Source organism: Homo sapiens, chromosome 16 (genome assembly GCF_000001405.40).
Source record: "Homo sapiens chromosome 16, GRCh38.p14 Primary Assembly".
Lineage (NCBI taxonomy): Eukaryota > Metazoa > Chordata > Mammalia > Primates > Hominidae > Homo > Homo sapiens.
This window is the reverse complement of record NC_000016.10, coordinates 81,188,076-81,211,281: the sequence shown is the minus strand read 5'-3', so window position 1 is coordinate 81,211,281 and position 23,206 is coordinate 81,188,076. Positions and strand designations below refer to the sequence as shown.

Below are 23,206 nucleotides of genomic sequence, written 5' to 3'. Positions count from 1 at the left end.
GGGCAGAACCCCCTGGGATGTGGGCAGCAGGGTACATGGCAAAAGGGCGGCAGGTTGGGGTTCAAATCCCAGCTCAGCCCCTGCTGCCTGGGTGATCCAGGCAAGTTGCAGAATCTTTCTAAGTTTCATGGGGCTCCTGTGAGGGTCAGGAGAACCTGGGGGAAGAGTGTAGCACCTTGTATGCACTCTGCAAATGGGGTTGAAATTTCTGCATGCTCTGTTCCAGCTGGCTCTGGGCCAGCAGTATCGGGATCAGCATCCCCTGGGAGCTTGTTAGACGTGCACACTCTCCAGCTGCACCCCATACTTACTGAATCAGAATCCTGGGGGGTAGGGTCTGAGTCTAGTTAAATGCTGACAGCTGCCAGTTAATTGGAGCTTCCACTGGGGGAACTGCTGTGTCAAGGGAGAAGAGATGCTTAAAAAAAGCAAGAGGCTGGGTACGATGGCTCACACCTGTAATCCCAGTGCTTTGGGAGGCTGAGGTGGGTGGATCATCTGACATCAGGAGTTCAAGGCCAGCCTGTCCAACATGGTGAAACCCTGTCTCTACTAAAAATACAAAAATTAGCCGGGTATGGTGGTGTACATCTGGAGCCCCAACTATTCAGGAGGGTGAGGCAGGAGAATTGCTTGAATCTGAGAGGCAGAGGTTGCAGTGAGCCAAGATGGCACCACTGCACTCCAGCCTGGGTGACATGGCGAGACTCCGTATCAAAAAAAAAAAAAAAAAATGGCCAGGGGCAGTGACTCACACCTGTAAACCCAGTACTTTGGGAGGCCGAGGCAGGTGGATCACCTGAGGTTGGGAGTTCAAGACCAGGCTGACCAACATGGAGAAACCCCATCTCTACTAAAAATACAAAATGAGCTGGTTGTGGTGGCACATGCCTGTAATCCCAGCTACTCAGTAGGCTGAGGCAGGAGAATCGCTTGAACCTGGGAGACAGAGATTGCGGTGAGCCGAGATCGCACCACTACACTCCAGCCTGGGCAACAAGAGCAAAACTCCATCTCAAAAAAAAAAAAAAAAAGAAACACAGCCCTGACACCTTGGTGTCGGCCCTGTGATATGAGCAGAGGCCAGCTGAGCCCACCCAGACTTCTGACCACCATACAGAATTGTGAGATTTAAAAAATCTGTGCTGCTTTATTTTTGTTTATTTTAGTTTTGAGACAAAGTCTTGCTCTGTTGCCTTGGCTGGAGTGCAGTGGCGCAATCTCAGCTCACTGCAACGTCCACCTCCCTGGTTCAAGTGATTCTCCTGCCTCACCCTCCTAAGTAGCTGGGACTACGGGCGCGTGCCACCACACCCAGCTAGTTTTTGTATTTTTGGTAGAGATGGAGTTTCATCTTGTTGGCCAGTCTGGCCTCGAACTTCTGACCTCAAGTGATCCACCTGACTCAGCCTCCCAAATTGCTGGGATTACAGGCATGAGCCACCATACCTGGACAAAAATCTGCGTTTTTGTTTGTTTGTTTGTTTTGAGACTGAGTCTTGTTCTGTAATCCAGGATTGGGTGCAATGGCGTGATCTCTGCTCACTGCAATCTTCACCTCTCAGGCTCAAGCTATTCTCCTGCCTCAGCCTCCTGAGTAGCTGGGATTACAGGCATGTGCCATCACGCCCAGCTAATTTTTGTATTTTTAGTAGAGACAGGGTTTTGCCATGTTGGCCAGGCTGGTCTCGAGCTCCTGACCTCAGGTAATCTGCCCACCTCTGCCTCCCAAAGTGCTGGGATTATAGGTGTGAGCCACCACTCCCAGCCAAATCTATGTAGATTTAAGTCATTAAGTTAGTGGTAAGTTGTTACAACAGTGATTGGAAATGAATACACCACCCTCCAGTCTTTCAGTAGTGCCGGCCATTGGCCAAGCCTACCTGGGAGCCAGTGGCCAAGGGAGTTTGGAAAATGTAGTTCGCTGTGATACAAGCATGGCAGGGTGAGGGTGGCTCTGTGGGCCCAGGGCCAACTGCCCAGAAGAAGTGGGACCTAGCAGGTAACTGGGAGAAGCACAGGTGGGTGTTCTGGACCTGTTTCTTTCTCCCAGGCTTCCCTGTGGGCATCTAACAGATCTCGCTGGGCAGGAGGGAGAGGTGCTGGATGACCCTGAAGCTTCTGGAATGGGCTGTCCCTGCTCCTCCCTTCTGTGGGCATGTGGTACCATGATAGACGCAGGATTCCTAATCTTGCCTCCTCTGCCGGTTCTCTGGGTGTAGATTTCTATTTTGGGCCATCTCTCTAGACGCTGCTGGACCAGTGGTTCTTGAAGTGGGGTCCCTGGGCCAGCAATGTCAGGATCAGCATCCCATAGGAACTGGTTAGAAATGCATATTCTCCAGCTGCACTCCATACCTACTGAATCAGAATCGCTGAGGGTGGGGTCTGGAATATGGTATCTTCACAAGACTCACAGGGGGATCTGTTGCAAGCTGAAGTTTGAGACCAGGATGCTAGACCCTGAACTACTTGAGGACAGAAATCCTACTTCTCCCTCACCTGAGTACCTAGCCCAGTACCTGGTCTTCAGGAGATATCAAAAGCTATTTGTTGGGCGGATGGTGGGTAAATGAATGAGTGGGTGAGAGGCCATTCATCTCTGTACAGCTCTGTTGAATGTATCCTCTTTTGTCTTGCACACCATTCCTGCTTCCGCTGGGATGTGCGTGCTTCCCAGGCCAGTGCCAGGAGCTACAGTCATGCCAGGTGGCAGCAGATGAGACCTACTTTGGAAACCTGTGTCCGACTCAGGGCAGTTACCTGTGGGTGCAGTACCAGTGCCGGGAAGGTGAGTCCCCGACTTGCTTGAGCATAGAAATGTCCCTCTGATTTTATGGCATGTCCAGCTTCCCCTGAAAACAGAGACAGCAGCCACCCACGTGGGCTGATCTCTGTGTGCTAAGAGACTCCCTCATTCAAAGTTGCTCCCCTTGGCTGGACGCGGTGGCTCACGCCTGTAATCCCAGCACTTTGGGAGGGAGGAGGATAGTCTGAGCCCAGGAGTTGGAGACAAGCCTGGACAACGTGGAGAAACCCCGTCTCTACAAAAAATCTAAAAATTAGGCTGGGTGTGGTGGCTCATGCCTGTAATCCCAGGACTTTGGGAGGCTGAGGGGAGTAGATCACTTGAAGTCAGTAGTTCGAGACCATTGGCCAACATGGTGAAACTCTGTCTCTACCAAAAAATACAAAAATTAGCCAGCCGTAGTGGCATGCACCTGTAATCCCAGCTACTTGGGAGGCTGAGGTGGGAGAATCACTTGAACCTAGCAGGCAGAGGTTGCAGTGAGCAGAGATCATGCTATTGCCCTCCACCCTGGGCGACAGAGTGAAACCCTGTCTCAAAAAATAAAAATAAATATTAGTGGGTGTGGTAGCACATACCTGTAGTCCCAGCTACTCAGTCTCTACTGAGGTGGGAAGATCACCTGAGCCTGGAAAGATCGAGGCTGCAGTGAGCCATGATCGCATCACTGTACTCCAGCCTGGGTGAAAGAGCAAGACCCTGTGAGAAAAAAAAAAAAAAAAAAAAAAAGACCCACATAAAAATACTGGACAGGTAGCCAGAAGAGAGTCGGTTATAAACAGAAATGTGCAATTTTGCTTCACAAGTGCATGCAGCATTTTATGTTTTAATCCACAGCCCTGCAGCTGATGGTGTCCAGTGAGAGTTTCATCTTTGACAATGTCACCATCTCCCTGACGTGGCTCCTCTCACCCTACATAGGAAACCTGTCCTGTATAATTAGTACAGGAGACAGCCACACTTTTGATCCCTACAACCCGCCGAGGTAAGAGAAATCTCTGAGCCTTGAGCCAGGTTGTATCATCAGTTTTTTTGCCACATAACAAACCAACCCAAAACTTGGTGGCTTAAAACAATAGTTACCATTTCTTACGGTTCTTTGGAGAGCTGGGCGGCTTTTCTTGTCTGAGTGGAGTTGGCTGGGGTAGGCTGTCCGGGAAGACCTCACTCACTCACATGCCTAGTGGTCAGCTGGATGTCAGCTAGAAGCATATGCTGCTCATCACTCAACAGGTTAGCCTAGGCTCATTCACACAGTGTTCCTAGCAGCGGAGCCCAATGCGCAAACATTTTTTCAAATCTCTGCTTGTGTTACATTTTCTAAGATACCGTTGGCCAAAGCAAGTTCCATGGCCAAGACCAGATTCAAGAGGTGGAGGAATAGACCCCACCTACTGATAGAAGGAGTGTGGAGCCACACTGCGAGGTGCTTCTATATGGGATGGGAGGAACTGTTGCTGCTACTTTTGCAAACACTCTACCTCATAGGTTTTCTTTTCTTTTCTTTTCTTTCTTTCTTTTTTTTTTTTTTTTTTTTTGAGGCAGGGTCTTTCTCCATCGCCCAGGCTGGAGTGCAATGGCTCGATCTCGGCTCACTGCAACCTCCACCTCCTGGGTTCAAGCGATTCTCCTGCCTCAGCCTCCCAAGTAGCTAGAACTACAAGCATGTGCCGCCATGCCTGGCTAATATTTGTATTTTTAGTAGGGACAGGGTTTCACCACGTTGGCTAGGTTGGTGTCGAACCTCTAACCACAAGTGATCTACCCCCTCGGCCTCCCACAGTGCTGGTAGTACAGGTGTGAGCCACAGCACATGGCCCCCTGTCACATTTGTGTTCGTGGCTGCCTTGAATGTTTCATGGTGTCAAATGAGAAACTATTTACAGTGATGTTTTGGGGGCAAATATCTGGGTGATACAAATACCTATGCCACTGTTCTGTGGGTTTCTTCCTGACTGCTATGAGTTTGTAAAGAAAACGACAGATTGTAAGTTACACAATCTTTCAGCCCCCAAATCTTGTAGAACTTGAATTTGGCATAAGTCAAAATTGCCTAAATGTAGCCCCGCTATGACCCACAGCTACACAGGACTTTTCAGTGATAAACAGTGGTTTAGAACAGAAGCAAATGGGACCAAATGTTAATGTTTGTTAAGTCTGGATGGCGAATCCAAGGGTGTTTGTTGTATTATTCTCTGGAAGTTTTTGTGCGATTAAAATCTAAGACACAGCACTGTTTGACATTTGCAGTCTCTCTGGGCATTAGCTCTAAACAACAATCACTGACATTTTTTTCTCTTTCAAAGGAAATAGATGGTGGCACCTCCTCCACCATTGCCCCACCCAAATAGTCCATCTTCCTTTACATTAAAGATTTGTTGGACCTTGAAACTACCCACCCACCTTTTTTTTGGGGGGGGGGGGGGCGGGTGGAGGATTGGCAGAGTCTTGCTCTGTCACCCAGGCTGGAGTGCAGTGGCATGATCTCGGCTCACCGCAACCTCCATATCCCAGGTTCAAGCGATTCTCCTGCCTCTGTCTCCCGAGTAGCTGGGACTACAGGCATGCTCCACCACGCCCAGCTAATTTTTGTATTTTTAGTAGATAGAGGTGGGGTTTTGCCATGTTGTCCAGGCTGGTCTTGAACTCCTGACCTCAGATGATCTGCCCATCTCGGCTTTTCAAAGTGCTGGGATTACAGGCGTGAGCGATTGTGCCTGGTCACCACCCACCTTTTAAAAATCATTTTTATAAACACTGGGAAATGCCTTTCTGATGCCTTCTTATCAATACTAGCAGCCACAGAACTCAGGTTATGATAGGGAAAATAGCATGAATTTTGATTTTTGAATGTACGGAAGCCACATTTTTTTGTGTAAATATCACTGTGCTTTTCTCTTATGTGTTGGTGCAGCCTCCTTTTTCTTAACTCATCATTAGTCTAAGAGGTGAGATGTTTAAATCAAACCCTTCGTATCCATTGTTGATAAATAATAAGAGCTCCTGGGAAGAATTGCATTGCTTAGGAGTCAGAAGACTTCTCTGTTAGAAGCTCCTTTTTACCTTGCCTTATATTCATTTGCATGGAGGGCCTTTTTTTTTTCTGTGTTTGTCATGGAAAATTTTCCACATTTCTGAAACTGTATTACGGGCCTTACAGAACAATTTGCTTTTGGTGAAATCTGTGTGAATCCAGCGTTGGTTAGCTGAGCGCCACCTTCTGGCAAATCTAGGGATTGACATTGTTCTTCCGTTAATCGGCTGCTTCTGCGCACAGCTGATATTGGGCGTGCAGAGATTTGTCTGAAACTAATAATCCACAAAACAGCAGGAGCCTTAGAGTGACCTAGAGCTAAAGTCCTCTCTCGGGGAACCAGAATTATAAGGCAAGAGCAATGGATCTAGAGAAAAGAGAGTAGCATGGACCTGAAAGCATGTGGCGTATTCAAATAACTGCAAGGACCTCGCCATGCCTGGAGTTCAGGACTCTGTGGAAGAATGAAAGATGCTGAAAAACTCAGCAGGAGCCTGGTCCTGAAGAGCTGTTGATGCTAGCCAGTCTAACGTAGGTGGGGTCTGTCAACTAAAGAAAAATCAAGCTTTTTAAATAATTAAAGTTAGTTTTGTTCAGGACGACAGACTGAGAACTACAGCCTGGGAGGTCTTTCAAAGAGGTTCTGCCAGACTGCTCCAAAACAGTGTTTCAGCTCACAGCTTCTATATGGGTTGTGGAGGTTCAGTCCACGTAAAATCACATCAAAGTTTGGGTGCAAGAGTGCATCTGCCTCTAGATGACTAAAGTATATCTTGTTGGCCGGCTTCGGTGGCTCATGCCTGTAATCCCAGCACTTTGGGAGGCCAAGGTGGGCAGATCGCTTGGGGTCAGGAGCTCAAGACCAGCCCGGTCAACATGGTGAAACTCCATCTCTACTAAAAAAAAAAAAAAAAAAAAAAAAATTAGCTGGACGTGGTGGTGCATGCCTGTATTCCCAGCTACACAGGAGGCTGATGGAGGAGAATCGCTTGAACCTGGCAGGCGAAGGTTTCAGTGAGCGGAGATCCTGCTACTGCTCTCCAGCCTGAGCAACAGAGAAAGACTCTGTCTCAAAAAAAAAAAAAAAAAATCTTGTTGTAGATTGCAGAAGCATAATCACCAGCCATCTCAGATGTTATCTTTTTTTTTTTTTCTTTAAGACGGAGTCTTGCTCTGTCACCCAGGCTGGAGTGCAGTGGCGCGATCTCGGCCCACTGCAAGCTCCTCCTCCCGGGTTCACGCCATTCTCCTGCCTCAGCCTCCCAAGTAGTTGGGACTACAGGCGCCCGCCACCACGCCTGGCTAAATTTTTTTTTTTTGTATTTTTGTAGAGACGGGGTTTCACCGTGTTAGCCAGGATGGTCTCAATCTCCTGACCTCGTGATCCGCCCACCTCGGCCTCCCAAAGTGCTGGGATTACAGGCGTGAGCCACTGCACCCAGCGAGACATTATCTTATATGTAAGAAAAGGACCAGTCATTTATCTTTTTAGGGATATAGTGACTCAGGCTAGAGACGTGGAAGCCGAGCACTCTATTCTGTTTTGTCTTCAAAGTGTTCTGGAGGGCTGCCTGTCACTGCAGTCAGGGGCTTCCTGTGATTATGCTGGCTAACAGAAATGAGCACACCTATCTCCTTGAGTTTGCTACTTTGTCTCACAGGAACCAGGAAACAGACTCTGTTGTGGAGCATGGGAAGGGAGTAGTAAGATGGGGCAAGAGGAGAGTTGAACTGGGATGCAGGGGCCACAGAGACCCTGACGATCCTGCAGAAACCTCTGAGCAGAGATGGCCCTCAGAGTTGCTTCCAGTTGAGGCCAGAGAGCCAGACCATTATACCCCGGCACTGAGCACTCGTGGGGTGCAGATGTCCATGGGAGGGGAGGTAGGTTTGAGCGAGGCAGCTCCCTTTGGCTAAAAGGGACTCCTGGACATGGATTCAGCTGTAAGCCCTCAGCCACAGCTCACAGGTGTACTGGGGGAATGCATGCTCAGGCTTGAAGGGTGGAATCTGGGGGATTCCCTGTAGCACCCACTACAGAGGATAATAGGAGGGTTTTCAGGCCAGGAACGACATAGTCTAAGTTGTTACTATTATTGCTAGTGTTACTAGTACTCGCTGGATTTTTTTTTTTTTTTTTTTTTTTTTTTTTTTTTTTGAGACAGGCTCTTACTCTGTCGCCCAGCCTGTAATGCAGTGGTGCGATCTCAGCTCACTGCAACCTCCGCCTTCTGGGTTCAAGCGATCCTCCTGCCTCAGCCTCCCTAGTACCTGGGATTACAGGTGTGCACCACCACGCCCAGCTAACTTTTGTGTTTTTAGTAGAGATGGGGTTTCGCCACGTTGGCCAGGCTGGTCTCTGTCTCCTGACCTCAAGCGATCTGCCCGCCTCGGCCTCCCGAAGTGCTGGGATTACAGGCATAAGCCACCAAGGCTGGCCAGCCATACACTTTTAAACAACCAGATCTTGTGAAAACCCACTCACTACCAAGAGAACAGCATCAGGGCGATGGTGCCAAGCCACTCGCGAGAAAACGCCCCTATGAGCCAATCACCTTCCACCAGGCCCCACCTCCAACATTGGGGATTATAATTCAACATGAGATTTGGGCAGGAGCGCAGATCCAAACCCTGTCAGTGCATGTGTAAATGCGTGTCTTTGTGTTTCCCCAACACTGGTCATGTCCCTGACTGTGGCCGGCAATGTGTCCAGCAATGTGACCCACCAGTTCACATCTCCTGGGGAATTCACCGTGTTTGCTGAATGCACAACCAGTGAGTGGCATGTGACAGCTCAGAGGCAGGTGACCGTGCGAGACAAGATGGAGACGCTCAGTGTGACTGCATGCTCCGGCCTGTCCCAGTCAGGAGCCGGCCCTCTCTGCCAGGCTGTCTTTGGGGATCCTCTGTGGATTCAGGTGGAGCTTGATGGAGGTGAGTCTGCAGAATTGGGCACATCAAGGCAAGCTATAAAATCACTGATTTCCTCCAAATCTATCCAACTCCCAGACCTTAATAAATAGTGGGCTGGGTGCAGTGGCTTGAGCCTGCAATTCCAACACTTTGGGAGGCTGAGGCGGGCGCATCGCTTGAGCCCAGAAGTTCGGGACAAGCCTGGGCAACAGGGTGAGACCCCATTTGTACAAAAAGTACAAAAATTAGTCAGGTATGGTTGCACATGCCTGTAGTTGCAGCTACTTGGGTGGCTGAGGTGGGAGTATGGCTTGAACCCGGGAGGTCGAGGCTGTAGTGAGCTGAGATCATGCTACTGCATGCCAGCCAGGACAACAGAGTGAGACCCTGTTTCAAAAAAAAGTAAATAAATAGTAACAAGGATCACCTACTGAGTTCTTTTTTTTTGAGATGGAGTTTTGCTCTGGTTGCCCAGGTGGAGTGCAACGGCACAATCTCAGCTCACTGCAACCTATACCGCCTGGGTTCAAGTGATTCCCCTGCCTCAGCCTCCCAAGTAGCTGGGATTACAAGCATGCACCACCACACCTGGCTAATTTTTTGTATTTAGTAGAGACAGGGTTTCACCATGTTGGTCAGGCTGGTCTCAAACTCCTGACCTCAGATGATCCACCTAGCTTGGCCTCCCAAGGTGCTGGGATTATAGGTGTGAGCCACCACACCTGACCGAGTTCATTTTTAAACTATCATTTATTCATTTATTTAGCACCTAGTGTGTGCCAGGCACTGTTCTAAGTGCTTTGCATAAACTTGTCTACTCATTACATAGTAGTATTATCTTCATGTTACAGATGAAGAAATGAAGACACAGAAAGGTTAAAACATTTGCCCAGAGTCAGAAGGCTAGTAAGGTAGTGAGTGCTCCTAGCCTTCCAAAGGCCCTTCTTTGCATCCCTGTAGAACCGAACTTCCGAGTCACTTCCTTTTGGGAATTTAACTAGGATGAGGTGGCACTGGGACTGCTACCAACTGGGCCTGAGCCCATCTCAGTACAGCCAGCATCGACTAGCTTGGCACAATCAAGTTGCCCCTGGCCAAGGCCAGTATTCAGCTGCACCCACTGGTATAGCCATGCCAACTGTTATGGCTGAGGTCCATTCTCATTGGTCACAGGGTGTTTTCTGATTGGTCACAGAGACTGCTCTGATTGATTGTCATGTCCATTCTGATCGGTCACAGTGTCTTTTCTTTTTTTTTGAGACAGAGTCTTGCTCTGTCATCCAGGCTGGAGTGCAGTGGTGCGATCTCAGCTCACTGCAACTTCCACCACCCGGGTTCCAGTGATTCTCGTGCTTCAGCCTCCTGGGTAGCTGGGACTACAGGTGCGTGCCACCATGCCAGGTTAATTTTTTATTTTTTTCTATTTTAGTAGGGATGGGATTTCGCCATGTTGGCCAGGCTGGTCTTGAACTCCTGACATCAGGTAACCTGCCCACCTCGGCCTCCCAAAATGTTGGGATTACAGGCATGAGCCACTGTGCCTGCCCACAGTGTGTTTTCCTTTTTTTTTTTTTTTTTTTTTGAGATGGAGTCTCGCTGTGTCCCAGGATGGAGTGCAATGGCATGATCTTAGCTCAGTGCAACCTCCGCCTCCTGGATTCAAGCGATTCTCCTGCCTCAGCCTCCCAAGTAGCTGGGATTACAGGCGCCCACCACCACACCCAGCTAATTTTTGTATTTTTAGTAGAGACAGGGTTTCACCATATTGGCCAGGCTGGTCTTGAACTCCTGACCTCATGATCCACCCGCCTCGGACTCCCAAAGTGCTGGGATTACAGGCATGAGCCACCGCGCCCAGCCTGTGTTTTCTAATCGGTCACAGAGACTGCTCTGATTGGTTGTCATGTCTATTTTGATGGGTCAGGGTGTCCATTCTGATTGGTCACAGCATCTATTCTGATTGGTCATGGCATCTATTTGTTGGTCGCAGTGTCTATTCTGATTTATCAGAGCATCCATTCTAATTGGTTGGCGCCCATGCTGTGCTGGTTGTTAAATATTTTAAATTATCATCCTTTCTCTCAATAGAGACTCTCCTGGCTAAGACTCATCCTCACCCAGGGCAGCGTTTTTCCTGAAGCCCAGGACCAGTTTGAGATTAGAATAGAGGCCTGTTGATGTAAACAGGGCAGCAGAGAGCTAGTGCAATGAGCAGGTGGCTCGGTTTGACCTCACATCCCACCTGGAGCCCTCTCATAGCAATAGCTGTGGAAGTCATAATGGGGCTTTAACACAGCCCTCAGGAAACCCCTTCTGTTCTTGCATGTTTGTTGGATGAAGAGGGCTCATATGTTCCCCTGAGGAAACAAAATAATCCTTCATTTATTTACTCATCCTACTAATATAATTGAGTGCCTACTACTCTGCCGGGTGTGGGCGAGGCAGCAGTAAATATGAAAGTCAGGGTTCCCATTCTCATGGGGCTTATATCGTAGTTATCATCATCATCACCCAGATGAGAACTACGCTAGCTTGGTTTTTATTGGAAGGAATCCTAATTTGTTGATTTAAGTCAGATTTTAAGAGTCAACCGCAATATTTATCATCCAGTAAGAACAACCATCTGCAACCTGCAAGGGAGCCCCCATCTTCCCGTGAACGGGCTGAGTTCTCATGTTGGTTTGCAGGGTTCTGGGCGGTCACCAGTGTAGGATGAAGGAATGGCTTTACTTGCTCCTGCTTAAAACAAGACCCAAAGCTAATTCTCATGCATAAAAATCAGCCCCCACCCTTAAGAAATGCTCCCTTTTAGTCCTCCTCCTCCTCCCCCGACCAGGACATCCCTGGCAACTAAATGTGGTAATTTTTTAATTACAAATATTTAGGTTCTCGGGTAAGACATGTATAGTATAAATAAGTTAGAATATGCAAATGAACAGAGCGGACCCCCAGATGACAAAATCACGGCCGGGAGCGGTGGCTTACGCCTGTCACCCCAGCACTTTGGGAGGCTGAGGCGGGCAAATCCAAGGTCAGGAGTTCAAGACCATCCTGGCTAACACGGTGAAACCCTGTCTCTACTAAAAATACAAAAAATTAGCTGGGTGTGGTAGCAGGCGCCTGTAATCCCAGCTACTCCAGAGGCCGAGGCAGGAGAATCACTTGAACCGGGGAGGCAGAGGTTGCAGTGAGCTGAGATCGCACCACTGCACTCCAGCCTGGGCGACAGCGCCAGACCCTGTCTCAAAAGAAAGACGAAATCAGTCATTAACCTAATACTCAGGGATAACCACCATTAATATTTGAGAAGGGGGCATATCCTTACATATTTCTTTATGTCTGCATCTGTATCCAAGTTTGTATCCAGAATCAGGCTTCAGAGACTGACTCTGAGCTGCCATAGTATTATCAACCGCATGGTTGTTACCAACATTCTTTAATTTTTCTTACCCCACTTAGGAACAGGAGTGACTTACACTGTGCTTTTGGGTGACATAACCCTGGCCGAGTCCACCACCCAAAAGGGCTCGCTACCGTACAATCTGATCCTGGACAGAGAAACCCAGAAACTGATGGGCCCTGGGAGGCACCGCCTGGAGATCCAAGCCACCGGCAACACCACCACCTCTACAATCTCCAGAAACATTACAGTCCACTTGGTGGAGCTGCTGTCAGGGCTGCAGGCCTCCTGGGCTTCTGACCATTTGGAGCTTGGACAGGACCTATTGATCACCATCTCATTGGCTCAGGGCACCCCGGAAGAGCTGACCTTTGAGGTGGCTGGACTCAATGCAACCTTCTCCCACGAGCAAGTGAGCTTTGGAGAGCCATTTGGGATTTGCCGCCTGGCTGTTCCGGTTGAAGGTACATGGGGTTAGTGGCTCCCCTTCTGATGCCCCTCCTCTTCCCTTTGTGACTTGGTGCCCAGGGTCCTGCCGGCCAGTTTTCCAGTGTGTCCGGGACATAGATTTGGTTCACAGCATCCTGCCTGGGTCATAAGATAAGGAACAGCCAGATGTAATCTGCCATCGTTGAGTTATCAGCTCTCCACTTCGGCACTTCTGACATTCGGAGCTGGATCATTCCTCGTTACAGTTGGGGGCTGGTACTGAAGGAGTTTTAGCAGCATCTCTGGCTTTTATTCACCAGATGCTAGTAACACCAGCACCCCAAGTCATGATGACAAAAATGTCAGACATTGCCAAATGTCCCCTGGGGGGCAAAATCACCCCCATTTAGGGCCCCTGTAAGAGACCAGGCATATTCAGATTTCTTCAAACATCTCTAGAGAAGAGTGTGGTTTGGGGAACTGCAGGTGATGCCCTAGCGGGAAAGAGGTAAAAACCAAGAATGGCAGAGATGGGGATGGAGAGAGGAAGTGTTGCCGACCATGGGGTCTTAGGCTCTGATGTACTCAAACTTTCCTGGACGAGGCTTTTGTTAGAGGCTTATGTTCAAACATAAAGAAGGCAGCACTGGAGTGGAGGTTCAGGGGCTGACTCCCCAAAAAGTCCAGAAGGCGTTCTTTTTTTTTTTTTTTTTTTTTTAGAGATGGAGTCTTGCTCTGTCTTCCAGGCTGGAGTGCAGTCAGTGGCGTGATCTTGACTCACTGCAACCTTTGCCTCCTGGGTTCAAGCAATTCTCGTGCCTCAGCCTCCCAAGCAGCTGGGATTACAGACATGCGCCACCACGCACGGAGAATTTTTTTGGTATTTTTAGTAGAGAGGGGTTTCACCATGTTGGCCAGGCTGCTCTTGAACTCCCAACCTCAGGTGATCCACCCACCTTGGCCTCCCGAAGTGCTGGCATTACAGGCGTGAGCCCTCGTGCCCGGCCTGTCTTTTTTTTTTTTTTTTTGAGATGGAGTCCCACTCTGTCACCCAGGCTGGAGTGCAGTGGCGTGATCTCAGCTCACTGCAACCTTCACCTCCCTGGTTCAAGAGATTCTCCTGCCTCAGCCTCCTGAGTCACTGAGACTACAGGCATGTACCACCATGCCTGACTATTTTATTTTTAGTGGAAACGGGGTTTAACCATGTTGGCCAGGCTGGTCTTGAACTCCTGACCTCATATGATCTGCCCACCTCGACCTCCCAAAGTGCTGGGTTTATAAGCATGAGCCACCACTCCCGGCATTCTGAAAGGAGGTAGGATGGGAAAAGGGCGATGTTTAAGCATGTGGAGGTGGGGAATGTTCAGCGCCTGTGCAGTCTGGTCACATGCTTCTTGATGTGTGGTATGTCTCATTAGCATGTTAAAGCTCCACCCTCGGGCATGATTTTTAGTATTATAATGAGGCAAAGGGTAAAGATGGTCATTTTTCTGGTCTTCTGTGTGTGCGGGCTATAGGGTTAACTCCCTTGAGTAAGATTTAAGGTGGGAGCTGTTTGTTTTCGTTTCCTCAAGGTCTGCACTCAGTGGGCATGGCACCTTGAGCAAGATTTGTGGTGCAACGTCTGGATGATCTGACTGGGGTCTGTGCCTGCCATGGGCCACCCTCCCCAACCAGCTTGTAGTAGAGTCCTCGATGAGGCAGGGCAGGGGTCCAAGTCCCATCTCTGGTCTATCTCAGAAGTATTTGCAATGATGCTGACGGGAGGACAGACTGGCAGGCACCAGCCAGGGGAGGTGGCCACAGCGCCCATTTGCATTTAATCTGTAAGGAACAGAGAGTTCTTGAGGGCCCGGATGAGATCAGCAGGCAGAAATGTGATGAGAATGGCAGAGTCTCCAGCCCATCCAGGACCTGCCCGTAGCTCCCCCTGGATCTCAGAAGTGTGTTAGAAAACGGGTGATACTGTGCAGGTGTGGGGTTACCATGCCCTCTGCAAGCAACTCCACAAACCAGATAGCAGAAGGGACAATAGGTTTGAGAAGAAAACCATCCGGGCTTTGCCAGATACCAAGGGTCCAGCTTGGAAGAGGGAAAGTCTAGAGGCTGCTGCAGCTGGAAAATCACACCACGCGTGGGTTATAAGCCAGATGCAGGTTTTGCTTTGTCACCTATAAAAATTACTCCTGCCATGAAAGTCGCTGCTATAAAGGTCACTCCACAGGGGAAGATGATCCCTCTCTGATAAAATATCCATGTGCTTTGTGACTTTTGCTCACTATTAGATGATTAACAGACTGTTCCTGCCCCTAAGGCCAACAGATTTGGATGACTCCAGGGGTGGCGGGAGTGGAAGGATGGAAAGGGAACGGGACAGGGCAGGGACATTTGCACTTGGTGGTGCTGGCCGAGTCCTAGCTGGCCTGGCTCTTGAGGGCTAGCAGATGTTTCAAGCTGCCTCTTTCTTGTAGGAGCTTCTCTGGGTTCTTGGGGCCCCCAGCTGGGCCTTATAGGCCTTTGTTCCTGGGGTGGTGGGGGATGCCTCCCCTTTAGCTGGTCACACGCCCTGGCTGCTTCTCCCTGGCCACCTCCCCTCTCTGTTGGACTCTCCTCATTCTCCCTCCCCTCGTCAGCATCCGTCTCCCCAAGGCACACATCTGGTCCACAGAACATTCTGACCCATGTCTTGGCCGACTCCCAGCCAAATGCAATTATTTCCCAGACGCAGAAATGGAGCCCCTTCCTCCCGTCCCCTTCCCACCCGCACGTCTTCCCGTCACAGACTGTTCCTTCAAGGGCATGAGTATGAAGCCTGTCCATGCGGACCCCAAACAGACACATACCGGGCTTTCCAAGGAAGGCTCCTCTCTCAAGCATTTCTCTCTGGGCTTGAGAACACAGAAGGTAGCCCCTACCCATAGCCCCTTCCCCATGAGGGAGAAGGGATGGGACACACATGTATCTAAATAAATCTTACAAATCCTTCTCCAAGCCTGGCCAACACGGTGAAACCCTGTCTCTACTAAAAATACAAAAATTAGCCTGGCGTGGTGACATGAGCCTGTAATCTCAGGTACTCGGGAGGCTGAAGCAGGAGAATTGCTTGAGCCTGGGAGGTGGAGGTTGTGGTGAGCTGAGATCGTGCCACTGCACTCTAGTTTGGATGACAGAGTAAGATCCTGTCTCAAAAATAAAATAAAGTAAAGTAAAATAAAATAAAATATCCTTTTCCACTGTCTCCACGCTTCTGACAATCCTGCTATGTGTCTCCCTCTTGGGAATCTGCAGTCTTATCTATCGAGAACCTACTTCTCCTTTGGAATTTAGCTCCAGCCCTGGCTCTATCCTGTGAACCATTTCTTTCTCTCCTGAGGTTGAAGCGGGCCCACCCAATGCCCACTGTGCCCCATGCCGATTCCTCCCGTGGTTTGGCGTTCACTGTCCTATGTGTCTACTACATGATAAGGCCCTTGAGGACAAGAACCAAGCTCCTTCATCTCTGTGTCCCCAGAGCCTTGCACCATGCCTGACATACAGCAGGGATTCATTAAATGCTCAGAGGTGAAAGATTTCGTTGGAGGCATCGGTGGACTAGAGAAGCAAGCTGGGAGAGTTTTCTTGGTCAAGTTCATGACAATGGCTGTGACTCTGGGTCCTTTGTATTGCAGGCACCTTTCTGGTCACCATGCTGGTGAGGAATGCCTTCTCCAACCTGAGTTTGGAAATCGGGAACATCACTATCACAGGCAAGGTGTTTCTGCAAGGGAGCATAAAACCTTTTACCAAGAGTCCAGAGCATTGCACCTGCTTGGGCTCCAGTGAGGGGCCTTTCCAAACACGGCTCTGAATATGTATCTTGTTCTACAGATGGTTAGAATTCTCCAGTTATTCTAAGGAGGCAATGATGTTTACAGTAAAACATTTCACCACTGACACAGAATTCTTTTTTTTTTTTTTTTTTTTTTTTTTGAGATGGAGTCTCACTCTGTCACCCAGGCTGGAGTGCAGTGGCATGATCTCGGCTCACTGCAAGCTCTGCCTCCTGGGTTTACACCATTCTCCTGCCTCAGCCTCCTGAGTTGCTGGGACTACAGGTGCCCACTACTACGCCTAGCTAATTTTTTTGTATTTTTAGTAGAGACCGGGTTTCACCATGTTAGCCAGGATGGTCTCGATCTCCTGACCTCATGATCCGCCCGTCTCAGCCTCCCAAAGTGCTGGGATTACAGGCGTGAACCACCGCACCCGGCCAACCACTGACACAGAATTCTAAAACAAGAGTTTGCGTTCATTATGATGCTTTAAGCTGCAAGTAACAGAAGGTCCAACCTAAGTAGCTTCAGATTCAGGGCTTTCTTGACTCACATAAGAAGTTAGGAGGTAAGCACTTCCAGGGTTGGTTCGGTGGCTCAGTGATGCCAGCGAGAAACCAGGCTCAGTCTATCTTTCTCGTCTGCCATCCTTAGAGCTTTGGTGCTGCCTTAGGCTTGTTGCTCAAGGAATCAAAGTGACTGCTGCAGTTCCGGATATTACATGTCAACGCAGCGTACCAGCAGCGGGAGCAGGGGTTTCCTCCTGTGCACCTCTTTTTATTAGGGGAAAAATCTTTCCCACTCACTCTAAGCAATCATCACCTCAGATACCATGACCAAAGTAGGGTCAGGTCCGCTGCTATAAAGTGCACTGGAAAAGCAGATACCCAGCATTTTCAGTTTCTGTGGGAGAAGGTGGATTCTGGCTGCCAGGAGGAAGGCTGGGGTAATGGCTGTTGGGGAACTAGCTGAGAGTAGCCATCACAGAGGTAGGGTTCACTTGAATGTGTTTGCTAGGACAATTCAAGTAGCAAGGGACAGAAACGAAGGTGAAACTGGCTTGGGTCAAAAGGAAATTTTATCAGCTCAGAAAATGAAAAGCCAGCTGGGCACCGTGGCTCATGCCTACAATCCCAGCATTTTGGGAGGCCGAGGTGGTGGATCACTTGAGGTCAGGAGTTTGAGACCAGCCTGGCCAACATGGCGAAAGCCTGTCTCTACTAAAAATACAATAATTAGCTGGGCGTGGTGGCACACACCTGTAGTCCCAGCTACTGGGGAGGCTGAGGCCAGGAGAATTGCTTGAATCTGGGAGGCAGAGGTTGCATTTAGCCAAGATCATGCCACTGCACTCCAGCCTGGGTGACAAAGTGAGATGGTGTCCCCACCCCCCGACCAAAAAAAAAAAAGAAAAAAGAAAATGAAAATGAAAAGCCCAGGGAGTAGACCTGTTCTTAAACACAGCTGGATGAGTCGCTCAGACAGTGTCTTCAGAAACCTGCCTCTTTCCTCCTCTGGTTCTGTGTTGACTTCTTTTGGATTCTCTCTTCCCAGCAGTAGCAAGATGACCCCAGGCTTTGATCTTTAACCCCAGAGGAGAAAGAGTACGTCTTGATGGATATTTCTAGTAGAAGTCCTGAGGCTGCCTCTTGCTGGCTGAAGCTCAGTTCATGGTTTCTCCTGGACCAGCTGCTGAGACCAGGGGAAGCAGCAGTCAGTTTGGCAGGTCAGGGTCTCACGCCCACGCTGGAGTACAATGTAGGGTCAGCTTCACCCAAACCAAGGCCTGAGAGTTGGGGAGGGATGGTTCTTAGGGAAAATATCACCCGTAGATGCTGCTACCAAGGGAGGGGATCATAGATGCCTGGAAATTCGACAGCCAGATGTGGGATTTGAGACCCAGAAAGTTTAATTGACTTTGCAGAAGTCACATGGCTGATTCATGCAGGATCAAAGGCAGCAAATGTTTCTCCTAATTTTTTCATTCAGGGTGATTGGACTGCCTTCCTTCTTAAGGTTAAGAAAGTCCCCTTTCTCTGGCATCTTAGCCTTGATTTGTACAGTTTTACATGCCTTTGGAATTATAGTTGTGTGAATGAGAATTCACTGGGAGAGAATTTTTTAAAGATCAGTGGTACTCAGACCTTAATATATCCAGGGCCTTAGTGAATCACATGAAATAACTCTAAGTTCCTACTTTAAGCACTACACTTTAATTAGATATTAATCATTAATATTTCAATATTTTCAGTAGGCCAGGCACAGTGGCTCACGCCTGTGATCCCAGCACTTTGGGAGGTCGAAGCGGGTGGATCACTGGAGGTCAGAGGTTCGAGACCAGCCTGGCCAACATGGTGAAACCCTGTCTCTACTAAAAATACAAAAATTAGCTGGGTGTGGTGGTGCACACCTATAACCCCAGCCACTTAGCAGGCTGAGGCAGGAGAATTGCTTGAACCCGGGAGGGGCAGATTGCAGTGAACCGAGATCACGCCACTGCACTACAGGCTGGGCAACAGAGCTAGACTCCATCTCAAAAATATATATATTTTCAGAGACATCAATTGATTGTATCTTTTTCCATTGTTTAAACTTGAAAAACTAGCGTTCTTTGTTTCTTTCTTTCTTTCTTTTTTTTTTTTTTTTTTTGAGACAGGATCTTGCTCTGATGCCCAGGCTGGAGTGCAGTGGAGCCATCTTGGCTCACTGCAAGCTCCGCCTCCCAGGTTCAAGCGATCCTCCTGCCTCAGCCTCCCGAGTAGCTGGGACTACAGGCGCCCGCCACCAAGCCCAGCTAATTTTTTTGTATTTTTAGTAGAGATGGGGTTTCACTGTGTTAGCCAGGATGACATTCTTTCTAGATGTATAGTTTACAAAGCAATTCTATAAACAGCACCACATTCAGTCTTCCTGGAGCCCTGAGAAATGGGGATGGACTCCAGGTATTTTTACAAATGAGGAAACCAAGACTCAGAGAGGATAACTCACCTGCCCGGTTCACATAGCCAATGGGAGGCCAGTAAGAGGATCTGACAACAGGGTAGTGTGTGGTGCCGACTCCACCCACTTGCCAGAGGTGAGCGTGCCCATCTCTCCTCACTCTATATTCAGTAGCATCAGGCTTATAGATTGGTGGGAACATTTATACCATGGAAATTGACAAACCCTACAAATCAGGGCTTCTCACTCCCACCTCCTTTACTGGTAGTTAAACATTAGCAGTGCAGGCTGGGTGCAGTGGCTCATGCCTCTAATCCCTACACTTTGGGAGGTTGAGATGGGCGGATCACCTGAGGTCAAGAGTTTAAGACCAGCCTGGCCAACATGGTGAAACGCCGTCTCTACTAAAAATACAAAAAATTATCTGGGTTGGCCGGGCGCGGTGGCTCACGCCTGTAATCCCAGCACTTTGGGAGGCCGAGGCGGGTGGATCATGAGGTCAGGAGATCGAGACCATCCTGGCTAACAAGGTGAAACCCCGTCTCTACTAAAAATACAAAAAAAAAATTAGCCGGGCGCGGTGGCGGGCGCCTGTAGTCCCAGCTACTCGGGAGGCTGAGGCAGGAGAATGGCGTGAACCCGGGAGGCGGAGCTTGCAGTGAGCCGAGATTGCGCCACTGCAGTCCGCAGTCCCGCCTGGGCGACAGAGCGAGACTCCGTCTCAAAAAAAAAAAAAAAAAAAAATTATCTGGGTGTGGTGGTGGGTGCCTGTAATCCCGGCTACTCAGGAGGCTGAGGCAGGAGAAGCACTTGAACCAGGAGACAGAGGTTGCATTGAGCCAAGATTGCCCCACTGCACTCCAGCCTGAGAGACAGAGCAAGACTGTGTCTCAAAAAACAAAAACAACAAACAAAACAAAACAAAAACACACATTAGCAGTGCATAGCTGCATCTGTCTGACTCTAAATCTTGTGTTTTATCTGCACTGGCAGCTGCCTCTTTCTCAACTACCAAAGGGGTGTCTTTAGTCCAGTGGTGGACAAGATGACTCACTTTTAATCCATTTCCCTAGGACCTGAATGTTTGCTATGTTCCCTTAAACCATTTTCAAAGACAGGCTGACGCCCCTGGTGGCATTTTCCACATGACTCTCTGACTCTATATTTTGACAGCCTTTTATAAGGTTTCCAACCAAAGCTTGATACCCGTTCCCACTGTGTTCACAGCCCCTTCCGGTCTCCAAGAACCATCTGGGATGAATGCTGAAGGAAAGAGTGTGAGTATTGTCTTTAAAAAACGTTTAACCTCACAAGGAAAAGATGTCCAAGCACTCTGTTTTAGTTTTGAGTTTTGGTTTTTTGGTACCAATACCCAGAGCACTAGGAATCCCTGAGGCTTCTTCCATTTGAGAAGAGGCCCAAAATGACTGAATTCAAACAAAGCAAGTTGTCTAATCACAACAGAGTTATGTTGTAAATCTATAATGAGCTATCTAGGATATGTAGATATCTGTTAGATATCTTGGCAATTAAACAGCACACTTGTAAAAAAATCAATAGGTCAAGAAGAAATCACAAGGGAAATTAGAAAAAATTTCTAACTACATGATAATGACAATACAACCTATGCACATTTGTGGAATGCAGCTAAAGCAGTGCTCAGAGAGAAATTTATCGCTTTTAATGCTTATATTAGAAAGCAGGAAGAAAAGAAAACAGACCAAGCTCTTCAGTTTTTATAACAAGACTGAGTTCAGCTCCTTGCTGTTGACGTTGTTCGTGCGTGCACTTATTCTACAACAAAGACTTACTGTGCATCTACAACATTCAAGGCTTGGTATCAGGGGCTGGGAATGCAATAGTGAATAAGCACATATGGTCTCCGCCTTCAGGAAGCTTACTGAGTGATACTAACGAACATATCGGCCCGGTACAGTGGCTCACGCCTGTAATCCCAGCACTTTGGGAGGCCAAGGTGGGAGGATCACTTGAGCCCAGGAGTTCAAGCAAGAAAGTGAGACCCTCATCTCAAAAAAAAAAAAACAAAATTAAAAATTAGCCAGGCATTAAGGTACATGCCTATGGTCCCAGCTACTTGGGAGGCTGAAGTGGGAGGATAGTTTGGGCCTGAGAGGTTGAGGCGCAGTGAGCCATGGCCGTGCCACTGCACTCCAGCCTGGGTAACAGAGTAAGACTCTGTCTCAAAAAAAAAACTCCAACAAACAAATTATCATAGAATTAGGAATTGTGGTAAGTATCTAATAAGAACCAATAGAGTGCAACGATAGCAACGAACAGGGTGGTCTGGCTGATGTGGTCAGACATGGCCTCTCCAGAGGTGACATGTAAGCGGACACATGAAGATAAGCCAGCCAGCCATGCCTGAAAGCAGAACAAGAGCTTTCTGAGTGGGCAGATCTGAGAGGCAGGCGATGGCCTGAAGCCAGCGTGGCTGGAGCCTGTTGGAGGGAGGGATGTAGGAGATTATGGACACGTGGACAGAGGCCAGATCACGCGGAGCCTTAGTTGCCAAGGCAAGAAATTTGGATTTTATTCTCAGGCCACGGGAGGCCACTGGGGCTTGAGTTCCACTGGAGCCCTGTGTTATTTCAGGTCAGGACTTCGGGGCTTGAGCAAGAAGCTCCACAGCCCAAGCTGTTTAACAAGTCCCACCAGAACTTACTCCAGGAACACCCCGTGTACCCCGAGCCAACACTCAGAATAACGTGACTTGCCCAGGGATCCTGAGCAACCAACTCCACGCCCCATGAGGGGAAGGAAGCCAGGGGGATTGGCCAGGGTCTGTCTCCACCCCACGCCTTACACTGCAGCTGCTCTTGGTGCAGACTGCTCTGGGGTGAAAGGGGAATGCCAACAGCACCCCACAGTGAGCCTGAGCTAACTGTAGTTGGAGTCTCACCAGCTGGCTGCTTTTTTTTGCAGAAAGATAAAGGCGATATGGAGGTGTACATCCAACCTGGTCCATATGTGGATCCTTTCACGACAGTGACCCTGGGCTGGCCAGACAATGACAAGGAGTTACGCTTCCAATGGTCATGTGGTAGGTGACAATAGAGTTCTTTTTTTTTTTTTTTTTTTGAGATGGAGTTTCACTCTTGTTGCCCAGGCTGGTGTGCAACGGTGTGATCTTGGCTCACTGCAACCTCCACTTCCTGGGTTCAAGCCATTCTCCTGCCTCAGCCTCCCAAGTAGCTGGGATTACAGGTGCCTGCCACCACGCCCAGCTAATTTTTGTATTTTTAGTAGAGACAGGGTTTCACTATGTTGGCCAGGTTAGTCTCGAACTCCTGACCTCAAGCGATATACCCGCCTTGGCCTCTCAAAGTGCTCGGATTACAGGTGTGAGCCACCGCGCCTGGCCAATGATAGAGTTCTTGAATTGTCCTGTTTCACTAAGAAGTGGTGAGCAGTGGTCAGATTTTGCTGTTCTTTTTCTTAATCTTCGCACCAGCTTTCCCTATGGCCTACATTTTGTATAACTTGTACATGCCAGAGCTTGCAAATTCCATGGAAATAGGAGGTGGGGCCGGGCGTGGTGGCTCACACCTGTAATCCCAGCACTTTGGGAGACCGAGGCAGGTGGATCACTGGAGGTCAGGAGTTTGAGACCAGCCTGGTCAACTTGGCAAAACCCCGTCTCTACTAAAAATACAAAAATTAGCCAGGCGTGGTGGCGCACACCTGTAATTCCAGCTACTCAGGAAGCTGAGGCAGGAGAATTGTTTGCACCTGGGAGGTGGAGGTTGCAGTGAGCTGAGATTGTGCCATTGCACTCTGGCCTGGGCAACAGAGCAAGACTGCGTCTCAAAAAAAAAAAAAAAAAAAATAGAAGGTGGGAGAAAGCA

General features: G+C 48.8%; 1 pseudogene across 1 annotated transcript in view; it reads left to right on the top strand.

Annotated features, from left to right (window-relative positions):
* The window catches only part of PKD1L2 (polycystin 1 like 2 (gene/pseudogene)), a 119,520-nt pseudogene that overhangs the window by 9,113 nt on the left and 87,201 nt on the right, over positions 1-23,206 (top strand). The window contains exons 4-10 of the transcript NR_126532.3: positions 2,681-2,791; positions 3,647-3,794; positions 8,557-8,777; positions 12,216-12,620; positions 16,257-16,334; positions 20,568-20,617; positions 22,284-22,401. The product of NR_126532.3 is annotated as a polycystin 1 like 2 (gene/pseudogene), transcript variant 1, non-coding (transcript). The remainder of the gene's footprint in view (positions 1-2,680; positions 2,792-3,646; positions 3,795-8,556; positions 8,778-12,215; positions 12,621-16,256; positions 16,335-20,567; positions 20,618-22,283; positions 22,402-23,206) is intronic.